The 24,468-nt window shown below is 40.9% G+C and overlaps 1 long non-coding RNA gene across 1 annotated transcript in view, besides 1 other annotated feature; it reads left to right on the plus strand.

Moving 5' to 3' along the window:
- Nucleotides 1–6,568, plus strand: part of DIO2-AS1 (DIO2 antisense RNA 1) — a 244,049-nt gene extending 237,481 nt beyond the window's left edge. The window contains exon 9 of the long non-coding RNA NR_038355.1: nucleotides 6,229–6,568. This is a non-coding gene — a long non-coding RNA (DIO2 antisense RNA 1). The remainder of the gene's footprint in view (nucleotides 1–6,228) is intronic.
- Nucleotides 15,382–16,073: an enhancer, noted in NCBI's record as "OCT4-NANOG hESC enhancer chr14:80930624-80931315 (GRCh37/hg19 assembly coordinates)". NCBI's record gives its function as "activates a minimal SCP1, AML or CMV promoter by ChIP-STARR-seq in naive and primed H9 embryonic stem cells {active_cell/tissue: H9 hESC(naive and primed)}" and the evidence as "EXISTENCE:reporter gene assay evidence [ECO:0000049][PMID:30033119]".

The following is a 24,468-nucleotide window of genomic DNA, read 5'->3' on the forward strand; positions in this document are numbered from 1 at the left end:
TGCTGGAGTGCAGCGGCACAATCTCGGCTCACTGCCAAGTTCCGCCTCCCAGGTTCACGTCATTCTCCTGCCTCAGCCTCCGGAGTAGCTGGGACTACAGGCACCCGCCACCATGCCCGGCTAATTTTTTGTATTTTTAGGACAGATGGGGTTTCACCATGTTAGCCAGGATGGTCTTGATCTCCTGACCTTGTGATCCGCCCACCTCGACCTCCCAAAGGGCTGGGATTACAGGCGTGAGCCACTGCGCCCGGCTTATGTGATCGTTCTTATATTCTGTTCATGCCTCCATTCAATGAGTCCTTAGCCCTCTTTCCAACATAACTTTTGAATGTTCCATGTCTCTGCCCACTTCCACATCTGTATTAGTCAAATATTGCTGCAAACCTAGAGTTTTACAACAGTAAAGCTATAATTTTCTTGCTCCCTAGTTTGGGGGTCAGCCAGGGAAGGATCTGCTTCAGTTTGTAGTTGGCTGGGCTTCGGGCTTTGAATCACAGTGCAATTTACATTACATGTCTGTCGTTCTCCCTGTACCAGCAAAAGACAGGAGCACAAGAGGGTGGACAGAAAAATACAGTCTCTTGGGGTCTGATATCATTTGGATTTGCATCCCTGCCGAAATATCATGTCAAATTGTAATTCTCATTGTTGGAGAAGGGGACTGGTGGGAGGTAATTAAATCCTAGGGGCAGATTGCCCCCTTGCTGTTCCCATGATAGTGAGTTCTCATGAGATCTGATGGTTTAAAAGTGTGTGGCACTTCCACCTTTACTCTTTCTCCTGCTGCCATTTGAAGAAGGCTTCTGCTTCCCCCTCACCTTTGGCCATGATTGTAAGTTTAATGAGGCCTCCCAGTCAAGCTTCCTGTTAAGCATGCAGAACTGTGAGTCAATTAAACCTGTTTTCTCCATAAACTACACAGTTTCAGGTAGTTCTTTACAGCACTGTGAGAACTGATACAGAAAATTGGTACCAGAAGAGTGGGGCATTGCTATAAATATACTTGAAAATGTGGAAGTGACTTTGGAACTGGGTAACAAGCAGAGGGGAACACTTTTGAGGGCTCAGAAGAAGAAAGGAGAATGTGGGAAAGTTTGAAACTTCCTAGGGACCTATTGCATGGTTTTGACCAAAATGCTGACAGTGATATGGACAATGAAGTCCAGGCTGTGGTGGTCTCAGATGGAGATGAGGAACTCACTGGGAACTGGAGTAAAGGTGACCCTTGCTATGTTTTAGCAAAGAGACTGGTCACATTTTGCCCCTGCCCTAGAGATCTGTGGAACTTTGAACTTGAGAGAGATGATTTAGTATACCCAGCAGCAGAAATTTCTAAGCAGCGAAGCATTCAAGAAGTAACCTGGCTGTTTCTAAAATTGTATGCCTTGTATGCCCATATGTGTGAACAAAGAGATGATCTGAAACTGGAACTTATATTTAAAGGGAAGCAGAGCATAAAATTGCGGAAAGTTTGCAGCCCAGCCAAGAGGTAGAAAAGAATAACACATTTCCTTGGAAGAAATTCAAGCCTGCTGCAGAAATTTGCATAAACAATGAGGAGCCGAATGTTAATACCCAAGACAATGGGGAAAATGTCTCCAGGGCATGTCAGAGATCCTCACAACAGACCTTTCCATCACAGCCCCAGGGCTTAGTAGGAAAAAAATGTTTTTGAGGGCCAGGCCTAGGGCACAGCTCTTCTGTGCAGCTTTGGGATATGGTGCCCTGGGTCCTAACCTCTCCAGCCCCAGCCATGGCTAAAAGGGGCCAAGGTACAGCTTCAGAGGGTGCAAGCCCCAAGTCTTGGCAGCTCCCACATGGTGTTGGGCCTCCAGGTGGACATAAAACAAGAGTTGATGTTTAGAAATCTCTGCCTAGATTTTGGAGGATGTATGGAAACACCTGGATGTCAAGGCAGAAGTTTGCTGCAGTGGTGGAGTCCTCATGGAGAACCCCTACTAGGGCAGTGTGGATGGGAAATGTGGGGTTGGAGCCCCCACACGGAGTCCCCACTGGGACACTGCCTAGTGGAGCTGTGAGAAGAGGGCCACAGTCCTTCAGACCCTAGAATGGTAGGTCTGACACCGTGGACCTGGAAAAGCCACAGGCACTCAACACTAGCCCATGAAAGCAGCCAAAGGGGCTGTAGAGCCACAGGGTTGGAGTTGCCCAAGGCCTTGGGAGCTCACCTCTGGCATCAGCGTGCCCTGGATGTGAGACATAGAGTCAAAGGAGAATATTTTGGAGCTTTAAGATTTAATAACTTCCCTGATGGGTTTTGAACTTTCATGGTGCCTATGGGTCCTTCATTTTCGCCAATTTCTCCTATTTAGAATGTAAGCATCTGCCCAAATGCCTATACCCCCATTATATCTTGGAAGTAACTAACTTGTTTTTGATTTTATAGTCTCATAGGTGGAAGGAACTTACCTTGTTTCAGATGAGACTTTGCATTATGGACTTTTGAATTAATGCTGAAATGAGTTAAGACTGGGGAACTGTTGATAAAAGATAACTGTATTTTGCAATGTGAGAAGGACATAAGACTTGGGACGGGCCAGGTGTAGAATGATATGGTTAAGATTTTTGTCCCCACCCAAAATCTCATGTCAAATTGTAATTCCAAATGTTGGAGGAGGGGCCTGGTGGAAGGTGATTGCATCATGGGGGAAGATTTTCCCACTTGCTGTTTTCATAATAGTCAGTGAGTTCTCATGAAATCTAATGGTTTAAAAGTGTGTGGCACTTCCTCCTTTGCTCGCTCTTTCTCTCTGTCCTGTTGCCATGGGAGGAAGGTGTTTGCCTCCCCTTCTGCCATGATTGTAAGTTTCCTGAGGCCTCCCTGTCATGCTTCCTGTTAAGCCTGTGGAACTGGGAGTCAATTAAACCTCTTTTCTTCATAAATTACCCAGTCTCAGGTAGTTCTTTATATCAATGTGAGAACAAACTAATACAAGGTGTTAGCCTGAAACTGGAACATTGTGACTTCTACCTCTATTTCACTGGTCAAATCAAATCACAGGGCCAATTCCAACATCAGTGGGGCTAGGAAACATACTCTATTTATTTTAGAGAAAGGTATTACAAAACCATATGGCAAAAGTTGCAAATATATAATTTGAATGAAAGGGGGACATGAATAATTGTGAACAATGAATGAATCAATATGCCACAGCATATTCTCTTGATCACAATTGTTCCTGTACTTCCCACATCCAAAATACACTTATCCCCTCCCCAAGACATCAACCACAAGGATGGAGAGATGTGGAGTAGACCTAAACCCAAACATAACCCAGAGTCAACCCTAACTCTCAGGTGACCTGCAGCCCGAAATAGTCACTTGGCTAAGCCAGCCTAAATCAGCAGATCTACAAGTGTGAAATAAGTGTTTGTTGTTATAAGACACTGAGTTTGTTACATTACCTAACTAATAAAATGCATTTTCTCATATTTGTTTCTATATTCTTGACATGACTTTATCACTTCCTTAATTTTCTCAAATCCTTCCTATGTCTCAGATTGATCCAAATCTTCTTTCAGTGCCTGTTTCTTCATCTCATCTTCATTAATATACATAGAGGCTATGTCACTCATTTTGTGCTTTCAACATTGATCCTCTATATGTTTTTTTTGAAAACTTACTATTCAATCATCTTTTAACAAAGACTTTTGAACACCTACTGCGTGCCAGAAGCAATAACAAGAACTTTAAAAACAATAATGAAAAGATAATCCATCCTCAAGGATTCTAGAGTTTAATAGGTATAAACAAGGAACAATTAAGAAGCGACATAAATGCTCTAATTTCCAAATTATTACTCTTAGCTCCTTAATTAAATTTGAAGCTAGGGTAAAGAGTTACAGGCAAAGATTATTTTATTCTTTTTTAAAAATTTATTTTTTAATTTATGCATTATAGATGCATATAATTTCAGAGGACATGTGATAATTTAATACATTCATATAATCTGTAAAAATCAAATTAATGTACCTGTGTTATCTATCACATTAAATATTTGTCTTTCTTTATGCTAAAAACATTTGAATTATTCTCTTCTAGCTATTTTTAAATGTACAATAGATTATTGAAAACTATGGTCACCCTACTGATCTATCTAACATTTAGGTCTTATTTCTTCTATCAAACTGTGTATTTGTATCCATTAATAAACTTCTCTTCATACACTCCTCCCCACTACCCTTCCCAGTCTCCCATTCTTTCTTGATCCTTTCATAGTACCAAGCACAATGACTTGTCTAGAGTAAGTGTTTAATAAAGAGTTGACTTGTTTTGTTGTTAAATGGCATCACAACCCAATGCATGGCCTTTGTGCTATGCCTAGCAACTATTTAGTCTATTGTTCCCAATAAACATTTGCATAGTGTGCCAAGCATTGTGCAAGGCCAAGGTGTTCCTGGTTGTCAGGCAGAGCATAGTCTGGGTAAGACAGGCGTGTAATTATGATAGCACTTACTGCACTATATTAAGATTCACGAGAGTACACTATGGGAACAAAGAAGGGTGGCCAACTTCATTTGGGGAAGCAACTTTACAACTTCATAATTATAATTGCAGCTTTAAAACACATAGATATTTTCCAGGCAGAAAAAAGTGGGAAAGACTACTCTAGGTCACAAGAACATCATGTACAAAAGTACAGAGTCATGAAAAAGCCTATGGGTTTGAAGATTAGCAAAGCATTAAGTATGGATAGAATTTAGGTTGGTTAGGAGTTGGGTGATAAGAAATGAAGCTGCAGCTGAATTGAGAGGATCCTTGTATGAAGCCTAGAGGAGCCGATGAACTGAGATATTATTCTGAGGAGATCAAGAAACGAGTGGGAGCTTTTAAGCCTGGGCGAATTGTAATTGGATATTTTATTTGAGGGTGGCCATCTCATGACAGTGAGGAGATTAGAATAAGGAAAAATAATTTGATTATAGAAAGACCACTTAGGAAACAGTTGAAATGATTCAAGTCCAAAATGATAAAGTCCTGGCTATGATGGGCCTGGCTATGATGGGCCTGGCTATGATGAGGGCTGGACTGGAAAGACATTTTTGCAATAGAGTTCACAGGACCTGCTAAGTCAGTGGATGGAAAATGTAGAGGGGATGAAGATAAAGCAAGTCTGTGCTTTGCCTAAGTTGGGAGCCCAATGGGAGTGGTGACCTAAAATAGGAGAAAAGGCAGGTTCCATCTGCAAAGGACAGGGCTCTGAACTTGAGCCTTGCCTGTTCCACCCATTGCTCTGCAATCCTGAGTGAGATATTTCACCTTTCTGAAACACAGTTACACCATCCATAAAATGGAAAAATACTATCTACTTCATGGGATTGTTTTGAGGTTAAACAGAAGTAAAAGATAAAAATGTCTAGCTTACTGCCTGGTCCATAGAAGCTGTTTGATAAATATATTTTGAATAAAGCAAACAGAGAAATAGAATGAATAGCAGAGACTGCGGTTTAAATCTAGCTGGTTATATAATGTTGAGTGTGTTACCTAAACTCCTTGACATTCTGTTTCTTCATTTGTAAAATAGTGAAAACTTGAGCTGCCTCATTGGGTTGTTGGGAAGATTAAACCTGAACCCATATGCAGAGCCTGATGTACACTGACAGATCGTAGCCACTCAATCAATTTGTGTTGAATAGAAGTATGAATTAATTCATATGAGCTTAGTAATCTTGTTTAAAGAAGCAGAAAAATATACACCCCCTTTAGTAAATATTACATACACATGCATACACCTACTCATAAAAGAGGATGTTAAATCTCTTTAAGTGGTAAGTTTCCATTATTTGTAAAGTCAAGTTACTTAGAAAAGGTTATTCTTCAATAATGTAAAAAAAAAAAAAAATGGCATGCTTCGCTAATCTAATTGTATTGCAAGAAAAACAAAGTCAAGTACACAACGAAATCTTCCTGCAGAGTATAGGTGATCTGCATAACTTTTACCACAAAGAAGTGGTACACAGACTGAAAAAACTTGAGAACCATGATTTTTAAAGAACCCAAGTGCTACCAGCATTGATTGTCTGATTGTGTCTTTAATTTGTTGCTGATACTATTCCTGCTTGAATAAATGCATTTTATTTTGTATAATGTGGCTACTGTAGATACTGCTAGCTGCACCACACTCCTGTCTATTCTACTCTCTTTTAGTAATTGAGTCAATTTGTATCCACTCTCCATCATTTCCCCCACCTCCCCACTTTTAGGAACATGGCCTCCCAGCTACAGACTACATTTACCAGCATCCCTTGAAGCTAAGTATGTTCATGTGATGAGATTCTGGGCAACGGAGGAGGAGTGGAATTTATATGTCACTTCCTTGAAGACACCTGCCATGAACTCTTTCTCCAGCAGCGCTGAGGAGTGCGACATTCAGGAAATGGCAATGCGGCAGTAAGGAAGGAATCTGTGCCCTTTAATGACCTAGAGGAGTAGATCCACTTCGCCACCTGGACCGGCCAGACTAATGTGAGAAATACACTTCTATCTATGTAAGCCAGTACATTTGGGGGTTTCTTTGTAATAGCATCTCAACCTCTATCCATGGAATGCAAGGTTTTGTCTTATTTTTCAAGAAAAACAAGTTGTTTCAATGGTAAACTTTGCCTTTAGGACTTCTAGGACAGATGGATTTTTAAATGACACAGTCTGATGTGTCAGGCTAAACTTCCCAAATACCCATTATCATACCAAGGTTATTACCAAGGACCTTTCTATCATCTTTTATTTGATAATGGTATTTTGATTTTGAATGGCAAGTTCTTATGTGCCAACTGGGTTGATTTTCATTATGATTGTTTTTTGTAATGAAGTAGCAGTTTTTCAATTTCTTTTACTAACCTTGCCAGTGAATGCTTGTCAAATAATACAAAGACTGTTCAAGTTGCCTTATCTCTGTTATTGGACTTCACCATAAATTAGATTTTAAAAAATGGAGGGTCTCAGAAGAGAATGTCTAAATAAATAAGAAATGGTTCATCAATTTTTAACTTTGAAATAACAGTATCCATTTTGTATACCATAATTACCAAATTCCATCTGAAAATTTGTTTTGACTAACAGGCAGAACTGGAAATAGAATTTTATTATATTGTTTTGCCACTCTTGGCAATTGGGAAAAAATAGGATTCAAGATTCTAGTTCCACATACCTTTTGTAATAGGGTACCCTGCATCAGAACTTTTATTGTTGGTGTAATGAGGAGCTATGAGATTGTTTAGATGTCAAAAATAAAGTCAATAAAAAGACATGTAACATAAAAGAATGAGAACACCAGACGATGGTGGAATATAACATAATATAGACAGAACATTTCAAAGTTATCATACATGACCACTTACACAACTTATCTAACCATAGATAGAACTGTCCTGGATCAACTGGCCTGGAAAATAACTACACTGCTAATATTTCAGTCACTACAATTCTCAAATTCAGAGAAGCCAAATCAGTTTCTTCCCCTGGCTTTCCCAGTAACCACTGACAGCTGTTGTGGTGGAAAGAACTCCTGGCTATGACTCAGGAAACTTTATTGCTAGTCCTGGCTTTACCATTTACTAAGCATGAATTTAGACAGGTCAAGTAACCTCTGTGCAGAGTGATTATGAACCTCAGAATAAGATAATCTATGGGAAGTATTTCGGAAAATAAGAATAAGATAATACATGGGAAGTATTCAGGAACTAAAAAGTTTTATGCAAATATACGTGTGTGTGTGTGTGTGCGCACGTGCAAAATAACTCACACTGTAAATTCAAAGCCAAGTATATATTTGCTTATATATGAAAATATATACATATGATATATATACATATGAACACAAATATACATATATATACATGACCACATGTGTGGGGGTGTGTGTGTGTAAAAACATATTACCCAAATTAAAAACTTTTACTCCTCAGGATTTATGCCCTGGCTGCTTCTAAAATGACTCGAGGCAGCAGTTATAGATTAACATGCAATGCAAAAGTGCAATGAGAAGCTCTAAAACAAAACAGAGTCTACGTAGATGACATTTAAGGAGTAAGTACTTTTTAGTGGAGCCCTCCTGCTCTTTTTTGACGGCTAAAAGCCAAGCATAAAGGGACTTCTACAGTGATAAAATAACCGTTAACTAATAACATATTTGTCACCTGTTAACTCTCACCTTCCCCTTCCCAAATAAAAACTAGAATCATGACAATGACCTATATCTCAGTCTATGGTTTCACCCATATCCCATTCCTCTTGTCTCTTGTTCCCTGTGTAATAAAGTTAATAATCCAGTTCCACTAGAGTATTCAGGAAGTACGATCTGGGTGGTAAGTCCCCGTAGTGGAATAAAAGGCACACATGATGCTTGCACCCTAAAGTCAGTAGGATTGTTACAAGCAACATTTTATTGACTTTTTTTTCTCAGTGATCATTAATCAAGAGATTAAGGAACAAGATGACAGTAATGAGAATAATCTGTCTTTCCTTTACTGAGGTCCCAATAATTTTCCCTCCTAAAATAATTTTAAGCAAGCTACGTTTTTAAAATACACGTAAGTAAATTAGGAATTAACGTCTTGGTGGGTTGGAGAGTAATACATATACCTTTGATTCATTAGCTCAGATAATAGCATTCTATTCTGAAAACATCTCTCAATTTCCTTTGATCTTTATTTTAAAACAAATAAATGGAAAGCATTGCATTTTATGGCCTTAGTTCTCAACTTGAACACCAAATATATTAGACTATATTTTTACTGGACAGTTTAGTATTGACAAAGCATATTAATACTAAGATAACTCTATTTCAAATTAAAACTTGCAATCACTAGATTTACATTTGCACTAGCAAATAATGGCATTTAAGAGATTTGCCTCTCCCCTATCTCTTTCTAAAGTGATAATATAAAATGTGTTAACAATCTCTGCACAGATAGCTTGGAAATAAAGAACAAGAGCTGATCACTGAATACCATTTCCATACATTGTTCTAATGCTGTTGTTGTCCTCATCACTTAACCACAGCATCACTCCAGGAGCCCATACATCTCCAGGCATTAGAAAATGCTCACAACTGAGACATAGGTCTTTCAGAAGCTGAAATGTATTCTCCAGACTAACATTTCTGTTTTCTAAACTTTACAAGAAAATGGTTTCTAGAGAAGACTGTATTTAATGTTTGCCACCTTAGAACCATAACGTGCCTTTCTTCCAAGGGAAACCTCCAAAAGCAGTCTCTCATTTAGTATTAGATAGTATACTTGCCAAATAGGCTACAAAGAATGCCAGCCCTGTTTTACAAATGGAGGCCTAAGTGTCATGAGTCCCAGACTCTCCCCATGCAGAGAGAGCAAGAGGAAGCAGTGGACGCGCACTGAAAGCCACACATTCCACCCGTTTCTTAAATGTGCATTTGTGAGCTCACATGTCAATAGCAGACTCCTTAAACACGTGGGAACAAATAGAATACATTGGGAACACTGGCCATTGTGATAAGAATTTAACCTGTTTCTCAGAGCAACTGCAACGGGACAAATTGTATGCAAGTAAAAACCATCTCATTGACCCCAGACTCACCTGACCCCTCTTGTCCTCTTGAAGTTCTAAATACCTGCCCAGATTGACGGAAGTCTGCTAGAACAGACTGTGGAGACAGAAGCCCCAAACCCTTAGTCTTTATATGCCCCTCTTCATCTGTTCAGACATCTCTTTTCACTCTGATTGGCTTGTGGTTCTCTCTCACTGCTCCTTGCCTTTGAAATCTTCTCTGGTCAGCAGTTCTTAGGGTTAATCTCTGCAACTTCCCCAGAGCTTCTACGCACATCCTGGGCATGTATGTGTATTTCCAGTGGCCTAAAGTGACAGTCTGTGGTAGATAGCTTCTTCCAACTCCTTTTCCTGGAGACTTGCTTCTCCCTTGTGTGGCTTGTCTTGGCTCTTCTAACAGGCTAAGGGTGGTGATCTATTCTCTTTACCTGCAACTTATAAATCATAATGTGGTTCTGCTTTAGAGGGGTGGTCTACATGATTGGCATATTAACTGCCAGAAAGAAATCTCAGGTTCCATATTTGAACCTCTACCTCATCTTCTAAGTGAAGTACTACCAAAAAAAATATGATTTATATTATTGCCTTTTCTCTTTGTCACCTTCCTACCCAGATTAGCAATATTTTCCTTTATGAATCTGACTTTTTTCCTTTTTTCTTTTGTGTCTTGTATAGTTTCCTTTAACACAGTTCACACTATGGGTTGTTTTTCTGAAAAAAAAAATTATTTTATTCTTCGTTTCCCACACCATATAGGTTCATATTACAGAATGAGCTTACATGATTTCCAAGGAGTAATAACTAGAATAATTTTGTCATTTCTGCTTCACTTCTTGAGTTCACAAATGAATGCTTAGGTCAGATTCTGTCATAAAAGGCGAAAGGAGTTTCCAAGTTCCTTTGTTTGTGTGAAATTTTATCTATCCATTATTTGGTAAAAGCAAGAGAAGAGGTTAGGAAATCTTCAGCTATGCAAAGAGTTTGCTGTTACAGGATTGTTGAAGTGGCAGATATCCAATATGCCATTTTTGAATGTCACCATGACCATTTCTGATCACCAGAATGTGATAGCATTACTACTTAACATGTAATTGAGTTTTACAGCCTTGGTCTATACACAGAGATGGCAAGAACATCTTTTTGAAACCATGTTTCATTGAACTTAACAGATTTCTGCCTAACAGATAAATATCAGTTTCCCTGAAGTTCTTCATTTTTGTGAAATTCAATTAGTGATGAGATTTAACATTTTCAGCAATAAATTCCTAACATCCTAGGTTTAATCTGTTGAAATCTTGAAACGACGAATTCATCCCTCCTTCCCAATTTCTCTGGATGGAGGTGTAGTGAATGTCCTCTCAGAATTCTCAAACACTGAGTTATTTTTGAGGCAGAACATTTCCACTGGTTGCCCTTGGGTAGATATGCAGTATTATCACATTACCTTTGAAATCTCTCTAGACTGCGACCCACATTCTCAGCAAGGCAACTGTATATGAACACCTTGTTCTCCATCAACTTTTTTATTTTATTTTTAATGACATCTCCCTTGAGTATCTGGTCACTTTGTAAGGTCTCCATCCATTGAGTTGAGTACATGTGATACATATGTCTGTAAATTGGATGGATATTTTCTTTGCTCAATTTAGAAGTACCAAGAACTTTATTAATATATCCCCAAATATTTCAGTTGTAAAGTTCACAATATTGTCCTAGAGAATTACATCAGTATTTCTTGTATTTTTTTCTTCTTACTCTGTACCCCAGTTATACATATGTATATGTGTTTATACATTTATAGTTAAAAATATATTTTCTATCTATCTCTCTAACTCACAATTCAGGCTTTGATAAAAGAAATGCTTCACTTAAATACAAGATCTTGATATTCACCATTGCTCTCTGTGGACACAGATCTTGGTGTGCTATCTTTCTTTGTTTTTTTTTCTTTTTTGAGATGGAATTTCACTCTTGTTGCCCAGGCTGGACTGCAATGGTGCTGTCTCGGTTCACTGCAGCCTCAGCCTCCCGGATTCAAGTGATTCTCCTGCCTTGGCCTCCCAAGTAGCTGGGATTACAGGCATGTGTCACCACGTCCAGCGAATTTTTTGTATTTTAAGTAGAGTCAGGGTTTCACCATGTTAGGCATGATGGTCTCGATCTTCCGACCTCAGATGATATGCCCACCTCAGCCTCCCAAAGTGCTGACATTACAGGCGTGAGCCACCATGCCCGGCCCAATCTTTCATAATAATATTTTTCACATGGGCTGTCTGAAAAAAATCTTAAGAAGTCATTGTCTCACTGTCTTGTCCTACCATCTCCAGATGCCCAAACCAGTCTTCAGAAGTGAGCTTAGCTAATAAAGGCTTCAAATGTTTTGTCTACCCCAAGATACCTTCATTTTAATCAAGAATAAAACTTAATACATTTCTAAATGGCAGGTTTCCAGATACCCTTGATGGGGGTAGGGATACCCTTGATGGGGGTGGGGAAATTGAGGTAGAAATATTGCCAGTGCTTTGAAAGGGACACAATGAAAGAGGCAAAATACTTGCAACTTTAATGACTGAAATTATTCCAATTAATAATTGTACTTTCATATATTTTTTCTAATATTTACCCTACAAGGTGGGTATTGTTCACAAATAAGGAAGATGAAGCTCCCAGTTATTATGTGACTTGCTCAGGGTGACAGGGCACAGAAGTGGCCGAGCCAGGTCTGTCAATGCCCATGCCTGACCACCTGTTCCTGCACAAAGACCCTGTTGGAAGGTGTTGAGGAAAGGATAAGTGAGAGCTAAAAATTTCCAAGTATCAGCTACAAGTAATTTGAGATTTTTATAGGAAAAGAAGTTTGGACCAGAAAATATATCTGGAGAACCTAAAATCTCCCCTCTCAACACTTTCCTAAAATCTGAAAAAAGTGAAAGAGTAAAACAGAAAGAACAGGGGCTTAAAGTCAGAAAGCACCGGGTCAAAGTCTGCTACTGCCTCTTACACTGCCTCATACCTTGAGTAAAAATACATAGTTTTGTATCCATGTTCTCCCATTGAGTAAAAGAATATAATGTCAACTCCATAGGGCTACTATGAGGATTAAATGATGTAATTTATATGAAAGTCTCAGGATAAGTGTTCTGTTTATAGTGTAAACTCAATAAATGGTCTTTACTTCTCCTTTCATCCATTGTTATAATTTATTTACAACATTTTATTTTATTTTATTTTTTTGAGACATGGTCTCACTCTATCACTCAGGCTGGAGTGCAGTGGCATAATCATGGCACACTGTAGCCTCAAACTCCTGGGCTCAGGTCTTAGCCTTAGCCTCCCAAGTAGCTAGGACTACAGGCATGCATCACCATGCCCTACTAATTAAAAAAAATTGTAGGCTCACGCCTGTAATCCCAGCACTTTGGGAGGCGGAGGTGGGTGGATCACGAGGTCAGGAAATCGAGACCATCCTGGCTAATACGGTGAAACCCCATCTCTACTAAAAATACAAAAAATTAGCCAGGCGTGGTGGCATGTGCCTGTAGTCCCAGCTACCCAGGAGGCAAAGGCAGGAGAATCACTTGAACCCAGGAGGCGGAGGTTGCAGTGAGCCGATATCACATCACTGCACTCCAGCCTAAGCGACAGAGCGAGACTCTGTCTCAAAAACAAAACAAAACAAAACAAAAACCAAAAAACACATTTATAGACATGGTGTCTCATTTTGCCACCGAGGCAGGTCTCAAACTCACAGCCTCAAGAGATACTCCTAATTCAGCCTCCCAAAGCACTGGGATTTGAGGTGTTAGCCACTGCTCCCAGCCTGCAACCTTTAAATAGCTGCAAAGGAAGAGGCTTTTCAAGTCTGTAACTACATATACCTAAATGAGTGCTAGACAACAGCTGTACTACCTTGGTTAAGAGCATCGGTTCTAAATTGTAACTGCTAGTTCAGATCCTGGTTCTTCTCTTTACGAATTTTGTGATCTTGGCCCATTGGCTCAACACTACTGTGTGTCAATATCCTTAGGGAAAATACTGGCACTTACTTTGTGAGATTTTCTGAGATTCAATCAAATTCATTAATGAAAGTTAAGTGCTTACTATAGTAGCCAGAACTCAGTAAGTGCTCCATAAATGCTAGCTGTTATTACTAACCAAGCACATAATAGATTTAGAAGAATCATTCTCAACAGGGTTCATCTTGCTCCCAGAGGACATCGAACAATATCTAGAGACATTTCTGGTTGTTACAACTCGGTAGGAAGCTGCTCCTGGAATCTAGATCATAGAGGTCAGGGACGCTGCTAAACATCCTAAAATATAAAAGACAGCCTACCCCACAAGGAACTATTCAGTCCAAAATGTCAATAAAGCTGAGGCAGAGAAATAATGAGCTAGAAAAATCACCTTTAGTCAACAAAGATCCTGAGATGTTTTCTCCATAGGGCATTAGATACCACTAACCAAATATTGCTGGCAAACAAAATAACCCTATGAAACTGCACCCCATCCAATACCAAGTAAGCTAATGCTGGAAAAAGTCAAAATGATAATTGGATATATGGAAGTATAACACTCTAGTATGTCTTAGAGTTATTTAAAAATACTCCTTTGAAAGAGTAATCTTTATTTCTAATTAGAATCACTTTTCTAAAATTTATTGAATAGAATTCTGAGAGTGATGAGCAAGGATATAAAAAAGCTTTAGAGACTACAGGTCCCATCAAAATTAATGCCTGCAAATTATCTAGAGTTCTTCTCCCACAGGACCCAGCAAGAAAAAATGGTGTACTTACAATGGATACTGGGTAGGAGAGAAAGTGGCCATGAATTTTCATGCTTCTTTATATTTTCATCCTCCTCAACCTAGCCTAGATAATTTTTGGATGGTGGGATTATTTAAAGAAAGCTAAATGAGAAGGGCTCAAAGTATCTTTTTCCTTGCAGTCCTGATCTCTTAAATTTAGCCAGAGCTCTAGCTGAGAGGATTTCTTATCCATCCTTCCTATGAGCTTCGCTGTATCTCCTCCAGCTTGTGTTGAAGAGAGTATATTGTCCACTTGAAACAAAACCTAATAAGACTAACAGAAACACTTTCTTCATAAAAAAATAGCCTCTTAAGTCTGAAGAGCCTCTGAAGTCTGAAGTTCCTTAAGGAACACACCATTGACCCTGAACTTCATTACTTGGGAACTGATGGTTGGTTCTCAGGGAACTGCTAAGTAACAGTGAGATCCCTTTCCTTCTTCAGTCCTTGGTATGGAGGTACTGCTCAAACACAGAACAGGGTTCCAGTGATGATACATGAAAAGGTATGACTCCTTTCTTATGCTTGCAGGTGAGACTCACAACAGAGGCTTATATATATACACAGAATGTGCACACTGTTGTCTGCCATAATGTTAAAGGAGGACTCTGTAATATTCCAATTATAGTGGGCTTAATAACAGTGCCTAAAGAAATCATTCCTGTATTAGTCCATTCTCACACTTCTACAAAGATACTACCCGAGATGGGATAATTTATAAACGAAAGAGGTTTAATTGACTCACAGTCCCACATAGCTAGGGAGACCTCAGGAAACTTACAATCATGGTGGAAGGAAAAGTAGGCACTTTCTTCTCAAGGCAGCAGGAAAGAGTATGCGTGTGTGAGCACAGGAAAAACTATCATTTATAAAACCATCAGATCTCGTGAAAATTCACTCACTATTACGAGAACAGCATGGGGAAACCACCCCCATAATCCAATCACTTCCCTTCCCTGACACTTGGGGATTATAGGTCCCTCCCTCTACATGTGGGGATTACAATTTGAGTTGAGATTTGGGTGTGGACACTGCTAAACCATATCATTCTGCCCCCGGCCCCTCCAAATCTCATGTCCCTTACACATTTCAAAACCAATCATGCCTTCTCAACAGTCCCCCAATGTCTTAGCTTGTGGGAGTTCAGTCAGGCTGGTGGGAAAAATTTTAAAGATAGTTATAAGAAAAAGACACAAACCTTGGAAGGCCAGGGGGGTTTGCATAAGCTCCAGTAATAGATCAGGCTGAAGGCAGCGTAATCCTTACCTTGAGTTAATTGCTTAGGGCGTAGAGTAGTTTATCTAAATAGCTTCTTTACTCCTGTGGTCCTAAAACCATCCTTTGATAACTGCTGCTGCATAATTGCTCTCTGCTTGGGAGGTCAGCAATGTCAATTACCCTCTAGTGGTGTTTACTCAAGACCTTTGTCATTTATGCTGAATAAAGGCGAGGTTTGCTGGCTGATTGGCTGGTCTGCGGCTGCAACTGTTTACAGCACTCTCCTTGGTGTCTGTAGGTGGCCCGGACTCTCAGCTGGACTGACAGGCAAAATATCTGTGTCCGTGTACGTTATTCATCTGTCACTGGGTCAAGGTCTCCGGGACAGACCCCCTACAGCTGGCGCTCCGTGTGAGGAATGCTGCGAAGGATCACGACGGACCCCCCAAAATGAAGGTGAAAAGGACCGCAGAGTCAGTGAGTCAGTAAGTCAGTGGTGCCTGCTTGGAATTTCCTAGTCCAGGGGTGGGGGATTGTTCAGGCTGAGGTTTCATCATGGGACAACAGTTATCAGTGCAACAGAAATAGTATATAAAAGTATTGAAACCGCTGCTTAAGGCTAGTGGAGCCAGGGTTTCGCAGGCTCAATTAAGGGATCTAATGAAAACTGTTGTAACCCATAATACATGGTTCCCAAAAGAAGGCACACTAGATGTAGAGCTCTGGGAACAAGTGGGAACAAATCTTAAACAACATCAGGTGTAAGGTCTATGGGTCCCAGTATCATCTTTAACGTAGGGGCCTTAGTAAGGGCGGCTTTGGTCCCACTATACACAGAAGAGCCTAAAAAGGTGAAGGAGGAGGAACTGTCACATACTTTACCACCCCTGAGTCCCTCAGACCTGCTATCACTGGGGAAAAATAACAAAGAGGAAACAGAGGTCTTGCCTGAACCTCCTCCTCCAATAAATAGGAAAAAAGACAAGAGACACACTCCAGCTATGGGACCTTGCCTTAAGCAAGCGGCATTAGAAGGGGAGCTTTCAGCCTGCCTGGTAGTGCAAGACTGACAAGGCAATCAGCAACATGAACCCATTTCTTTTAACGCTTATAAAGAGCTAAGAAAAAGCATTAAAGAAAATGGAGCCACTAGCCCATTTACAAAAGGAATAATTAAGGACTTGGCAGACAACTTCCGTATGACCCCATGGGACTGGTCAATGCTAGCTAAAACAACTTTGGACCCTAGCCAATACCTCCTTTGGAAGGCAGAATATGATGAGTTGTGTGAACAACAAGCCAACCAGAATCAGGCAGACAGGCAAGACATAACAGCTGCTATGCTCCAGGGGAGGGGTCCCCATGCTGATGTACAACAACAACTAGATTTTGATCCCCAGGCCTATGCTCAAGTGTCTTTGTGTGCTCTCAGGGCTTGGGACTGAATTCCCAAAAGCGGAGTTCAACAGGGATCTTTTATAAATGTTCGACAGGGGCCTCAGGAGCCATGTGTTGAGTTTATCAATCGGTAAACCAAAGCAAATAAGAGACAAATTAGTCACGCCCAGGCCACTGATATCTTATTGGTGCAACTGGCTTTTGAAAATGCTAATGTGGATCGCCAGCAAGCAATGCAGGCAATCAGAGGAAAGGCAGCCACAGTCAGGGAACTTATACAACCATGTCAGCTGGTGGGAACTGAGACACACAAAGCCAAAATATTGGCTATGGCATTAAGGGCTCCTAAAGTAAAAAGGGAGAGAAGCCAAAATTATTTCCTATGCGGAAAGCCAGGTCATATGAACAAGGAATGCCCCCATAGTAGAGACCAAAGTAACTCAGGAAAGAACCCCCTTCTATATGCCCCCAATGTAAAAAGGGGAAACATTAGGCAAATCAATGCAGGTCAAAATTTGAAAAAAACGGAAACCCCATAAGTAACCAGGTAGGAAACTTCATGAGGCCCCGCTACAAATGGGCAACGCCAGCAGCTTTCCTTGGTCAGATGGAAAGTCCACAGTCCTCTCTCTCAGAGCAGGCACCACTGGGAATGCAGGACTGGACTTACTCTGCCCCAGTGAATTAGTGCTTAAAGAAGAAGACCCTAAAAGGGTTACAACTGGGATCTGGGGCCCACTGCCTCTGGGAACAGTGGGATTAGTCCTAGGGTGGTCTAGCTTATCTGGTAAAGGAATTAATGTGCTCACTGGGGTAATTGATAGTGATTACCAAGGTGAGATATAGGTTAAGATGGAATGTAAAGGTCTGCATATTCTTCCCCCTCGATCAAAGACAGCTCAGTTACTGATTTTACCATACTAGGTCCCCAAAGCCCACAGAAAGGAAAGGGGAAGGGAAGTTTGGGAAGCACAGGAGACACAGGAGTATATTGGAATCAATTAATCACTGACCAGAGACCCATGATTACCTTAGAAATTAGAAATAAGAATTTTACTGGCTTATTGGACACAAGGGCGGACATTTCAATTATTAGTGATCAAAACTGGCCAGAAACTTGGGCTTGGGTCACTCAGAAACAAAAAATTGTCGGCATTGGGGAAGTGCACACAGCCAAGCAGAGAACGTGCCCCCTAACATGTTGCAATTCAGAAGGAAGAAAGGCAATTATGCAACCTCTAATCATGCCCATCCCTGTTAATCTTTGGGGATGGGACCCATTAGCCCAATGGGGGTCACTCTGCAGACCCCTTTCTAACAAGGGCCACTGTTATTATTCTTCCCCTACCCCGATGTGGCTCTCTCAAGATCCTATTTGGGTAGAACAGTGGCCTCTGAAGGGAGAGAAATTACAGAGGGTCCATGAATTAGTTGAAGAGCAATTAAAAGCTGGACATGTGGAACCATCTAATAGTCCTTGGAATTCGCCCATTTTCCTCATTCCCAAAAAGTCTGGGAAATGGAGACTTTTGCATGACTTACGTGCTGTTAATGTCAATTTGCAACATATGGGACCCCTTCAGCAGGGGCTCCTTTCCCCCATGGTGATTACTCAAGATTGGCCTACAATCATTATTGACTTAAAGGACTGTTTTATATTTATATATATATATATATATATATATATATATTCGTTATACTTTAAGTTCTAGGGTACATGTGCACAACATGGTTTGACACATAGGTATACATGTGCCACGTTGGTTTACTGCACCCATCAACTCGTCATTTACATTAGGTATTTCTTCTAATGCTATCCCTCCCCCAGCCCTCCATAACCCAAGAGGCCCTGGTGTGTGATGTTCCCCGCCCTGTGTCCAAGTGATCTCATTGTTCAACTCCCACTTGTAAGTGAGAACATACAGTGTTTGGTTTTCTGTCCTTGAAGGACTGTTTTTATATGATTCCCTTAGCAGAACAGGACAGAGAAAAATTTGCGTTTACAATACCAGCTATCAATAATGAAAGGCCAGCTTGTCAATTTCATTGGAAAGTGCTTCCTCAAGGAATGCTAAATAGTCCTACCATGTGTCAGTATCATGTAAATCAAGCTTTGCTACCCAGTAGAAAAGAATTTCCTGATTGCAAGGTTATTCATTTATGGATGATATTCTACTAGCAGCCCCAATGGAGCCAATGCTTTTAAATGTATTTACCTCTGTCATAAAGAATACATAGCTAAAAGGTTTAATCATTGCACCCGAGAAAGTATAGATGTCTTCTCCTTGGAAATATCGTGGGTACATACTAACTTCCCAGTCAGTAAGATCTCAAAATGTTAAATTAAATATTAGAAACTTACACACCTTAAATGATGATCAGAAATTACTAGGTGATATCAACTAGCTCTGCCCTACTCTGGGTATATCTACGGATAAGCTGCAAAACCTGTTTTCTATCTTAAAGGGCAATACAGCCCTAGATTCTCCCAGATATTTAACCCCTGCAGCAAAAGGGAAATTGAGGAAATAGAATAAACCATCTCTCAGAGGCACCTAGATAGCATAGATCCAGGCTACTCAATTCAAATGTTTATCTTTCCCACCAAACACTCCCCTACAGGGTTAACCACAGACCCCAGGACTGCACTTTCTAGAATGGTTTTTTTGTTTTTGCTCACATACCAGGACTAAAACACTAGTTCCCTATATCCAGTTACTTAGTAAAGTCATCTATTCAGGCTGCAAATGATGCAGTCAGTTGCTAGGTTATGATCCTAATATCATCAGGATTCCTTTAAGTAAAAAGCAGTTAGAAGCAGTATTGCCCTTATCGATGGACTTGCAAATAGCACTCTCTGATTACACAGAACAAATAGAGCATGTCCTTCCCGCTGACAAACTCCTTCATTTCTTATCTTGTACTCCTGTGATCTTGCCTACACAAACAGTTCACTCCCCCATACCTAATGCTTTAACACTGTTTACTGATGGATCTGGTAAACATGGAAAGGCGGCAGTCTTTTGGAGACTACATAATTCACTCACTTGATCTGGATTTACTAGCACTCAAAGAGCTGAGACTGGGGCCCTGATATTGGCCTTGGAAACTTTTTCGGCTCAGCCCATCAATATTGTTAGCGACTATGCCTACTCTATTTATTGCAGAACCTTGCAACAGCCCTAATTAAGTCCACTCTGGAGCCCACCCTGTGTGCTCTTTTTCTTAGACTTCAGCAATTGCTAGATCAGTGTATACATCCTATTTTTATCACACATTTTTGAGCCCAGAGTTCACTGCCTGGCCTATTGGCTTACGGCAATGATCAAGCAGACCTTCAGGTTATGACATCACTGCTTGACCAAGCCACCCAATCACATCAATTTTTACACCAAAATTAGAGAAACTTATCTAAACAATTTCAACTCACCCAGAGACTAGCTAAACAAATTATCCTGCAATGCCCAGATTGCCAGCTCACAGGCGCATCCCCACCTTCAACACGTGTTAACCCTAGAGGACTAGAACCTAATCAGTTACGGTAAACAGATGTTACACACATCCCCGAATTTGGAAAACTTAGATACGTACGTGTATCCATTGATACCAATTCTCAATTAGTGCCCATGCTTTGCCTGGAGATTCCACCCAATATGTCATTAAACATCTTTTAACTTTTGCATTTATGGGATGGCCCACAAAAATTAAAACTGATAACGGTCCAGTTTATGTCAGCTCACAATTTCAACAATTTTGTCACACATGGGATATCCAACATTCCACAGGCATCCCATATGACCCCCAAGGACAGGCCATAGTAGAACGTGCCCACTCCACCCTTAAAAATATGCTCAAAAAACAGAAGAGGGGGAGTATGGGTAAAGACCCTGCAACGCTACTAGCACAAGCCTTATTTACCCTTAATTTTTAAAATTTAGATGACAAATTTCAATCAGCTGTAGAAAAGCACTTTGCTAAAACCTCTCAAGACATAAAACCTGCAGTTTTATGGAAAGATGTAAACAGTAATATATGGTGTGGTCCAAATGAATTACTAACTTGGGGAAGAGGGTACACTTCTGTCCACACCCCCTCAGGTCCTCTTTAGATTCCAGCATGATGCATCAAACCATACCATGGCATGGCTAGGACCCAACCCGGTACCAGAAATGAAGGAACTGACCTTACAGGACCCACAGCCCTGGACGATGTGGCTTCTGTGGACGACAAAAGCCCCGGACATTACCTGGGGTATGCTGAAGAGGACAACTCAGGAGGCTGAATGAATCCCGCTCCAGACACAGACACCATTCACTTCAGATAATTTGTTCCTTGCTATGCTGTCTGTTGTACATTGCAATTCACATAGGGTATTGCTCCTTTTTAGGCCCTTGCTTTGTCTGCAACCTGTACCTGCTACACTCTATTGGGCTCATATCTTAGATCCGCCTTTCTTTAGTCCTGTCACCTAGGCAGACACCCCCTTCCCAGGCTTTAATAACGTGACTGCTTGGCTAGGAGGGATAGATTTACCCCCAGTGGGGTCCCTCATTAATGGCACACATTGGACTAAGATGCCAGATAACAATAAGTATCACTCCAATATCCTCCCACTATGCGTTAAGTTATAAAGGTTCTAACCCTTACTGTGTACCTGCTCAAACACAATTATGGCTACATCATGGCAAAAGAAATGCCTTAACAGTCTTAGCTGCAGGTAGCCTCAAACCGGGTAATTCAATCAATGTTGCTTTCCCAAACATTCCTTCCTGTGCTAAAGAACAAAGCCAGGAAAGTAATGAATTCCACTTTAGCTGGGAGGTCTGTCACAGGGGACAAGCCTGTAGCCTCCAGTTAGGCAATTATAACACCTTAGACTGGAACCCTCATGGCCATTTGCAGGACAGCCTTACTGATGTCCACATCCATCATGGCATCAATCACAGTTTCATAGCCTTGTTCCATCCCCCTGTGATTTGGGCCAATGGGGGGATGGGATATCCCAGACCCCAAGTAAAGTCCATCCCACTTCAAGACACTTTATGGTGACTGGGACATCTTAGTACTTCCTTTGACACCTGGCATGGGACATATCATAATTCCAGTAACAACTATACTATAACCTTTATTCATAATCACACTGATCAGTGCCTAATTTGCACTACCCATCCATATGTTTTCCTTATGGGAACTAATATTTCCATTACACCCAAAACTCTGCATTTGTGACCCAGGTGCAGGAACAGGCTTGGTTTGTCTCATGTATCACTAATTATAATATATCTAATTTAAATATTACTAGTGCCATGGTATTAAGGAGACAATCTGAGGCATTCCTATCAGTCAATTTGACACACGACTGGCAAGGTTCCTCTGCCCTTGCCACCTTAGAATGTACCCTATCCCAGGTCAGACCCAAAAGATTCATAGGCACACTTACAGCCTTTATAGTCTCAGCCATAGTTATCCTAGCAACTGCTAGTGTGGCTGTAGCATCTATTACTGAAACAGTACAAATGCTGTTTTTGTAGATAATTTGGCCAAAAATGTGTCTAATGAACTTCTCTTACAGCAGGGTACAGATCAAAAGATTCCTGCAAGTCTGCAAGCCCTTGAGGCTGTCTTGGAATATGTGGGGGAGTGACAAGATGCACTGGCATTCTGTCAACAATTAAACTGCGACTGGGAGCATAAACATATCTATGTCAGTTCTCTACCATGGAATCGATCAATGCATAGTTGGGATGAGGTGAAACAATACCCCTGGGGAACCTTTCATTACAACTTAACAGCAGACGTAAAGCAACTTACAACTGAAATTTTAGAATCCCTTCACACGATACATCTACACACCCAACAAACAGCCATATGGAAGAGCAGGCAAGATCATCTCTCCTGGTTAGACCCCTGCTCCTGGGGGTCACTCTTTGACTGGAAAAGAATGTTGCTAATTATACTCATGATTGTCTTATGTTATTTGCTAATTCTAGGATACAAAGCTGGAATAAGAGGAATGACCACTTCGTCTGACAGACCTGTTGCTGCACACATCTGTACCCTTCGGTCAACAGAACCCGATGCAAAGAACAGAAAAGGGAGAGATGTGGGAGTTCAGACAGGCTGGTGGCGTGTCCAGAATTTATTCCTTCCGGTGGGTTCTTGGTCTCGCTGACTTCAAGAATGAAGCCGCAAACCTTTGCTGTGAGTGTTACAGCTCTTAAAGGTGGTGTGGACCCAAAGAGTGAGCAGCAGCAAGATTTATTGTGAAGAGCAAAAGAACAAAGCTTCCACAGCATGGAAGGGGACCTGAGTGGGCTGCTGCTGCAGGCTGGGATAGCCAGTTTTTATTCCCTTATTTGTCCCCACCCACATCCCGCTGATTGGTCCATTTTATAGAGTGCTGATTGGTGCGTTTACAATCCTTTAGCTAGACACAGAGCGCTGATTGGTGACTTTTTACAGAGTGCCGATTGGTGCATTTACAATCCTTTAGCTAGACACAGAGCGCTGATTGGTGCGTTTTTACAGAGTGCTGATTGGTGCGTTTACAATCCTTTAGCTAGACACAGAGTGCTGATTGGTGCATTTTTACAGGGTGCTGATTGGTGCATTTACAATCCTTTAGCTAGATAGAAAAGTTCTCCAAGTCCGTACCCTACCCAGGAAGTCCAGCTGGCTTCACCTCTCAGTGGGAAAAATTTTAAAGATAGTTATAAGAAAAAGACACAAACCTTCTTGGAAGGCTGGTTGGGGGTTGGTTTGCATAAGCTCCAGTAATAGATCAGGCTGAAGGCAGCCTAATCCTTACCTTGAGTTAATAGTTTAGGGCACAGATACAAAGGAATGTAGAGCAATTTATCTAAATAGCTTCTTTACTCATGTGGTCCTAAAACCAACCTTTGATCAACCACAGGTGCATAATTGCTTCTACTCTGGAGGTGGGCAGTGTCAATTACCCTCTAGTGGTGTTTACTCAAGACCTTTGTCATTTAATCTATACTGAATAAATGTGAGCTTTGCTGGCTGATTGGGGCCACAGCTGCAACTCTACAGCACCCTCCTTGGTGTCTGTAGGTGGCCTGGACCCTCAGCTGGACTGACAGGCAAAATATCTGTGTCAGTGTATGTTATTCATCCATCATTGGGTCAGGGTCTGCAGGACAGACCCCCACATTAACTCATTCAGCATTAACTCAAAAGTCCAAGTCCAAAGTCTCATCTGAGACAAGGCAAGTCCCTTTAACCTATGAGTCTGTAAAATCAAATACAAGTTAGTTACTTCCAAGATACAGTGGAGGTACAAGCGTTGGAAAAATGCTTCCATTCCAAATGGGAAAAATTAGCCAAAACAAAGGAGCTACAGGCCCCACGCAAGTCTGAAATCCAGCGGGGGGGCAGTCATTACAACTTAAAGCTCCTAAAAAATCTCTGTTGACTTCATGTCTCACATCCAGGGCATGCTGATGCAAGTGGTAGGCTCCCACAGTCTTGGGCAGCT

Source organism: Homo sapiens, chromosome 14, assembly GCF_000001405.40.
Source record: "Homo sapiens chromosome 14, GRCh38.p14 Primary Assembly".
In the NCBI taxonomy this organism is placed as follows: Eukaryota; Metazoa; Chordata; class Mammalia; order Primates; family Hominidae; genus Homo; species Homo sapiens.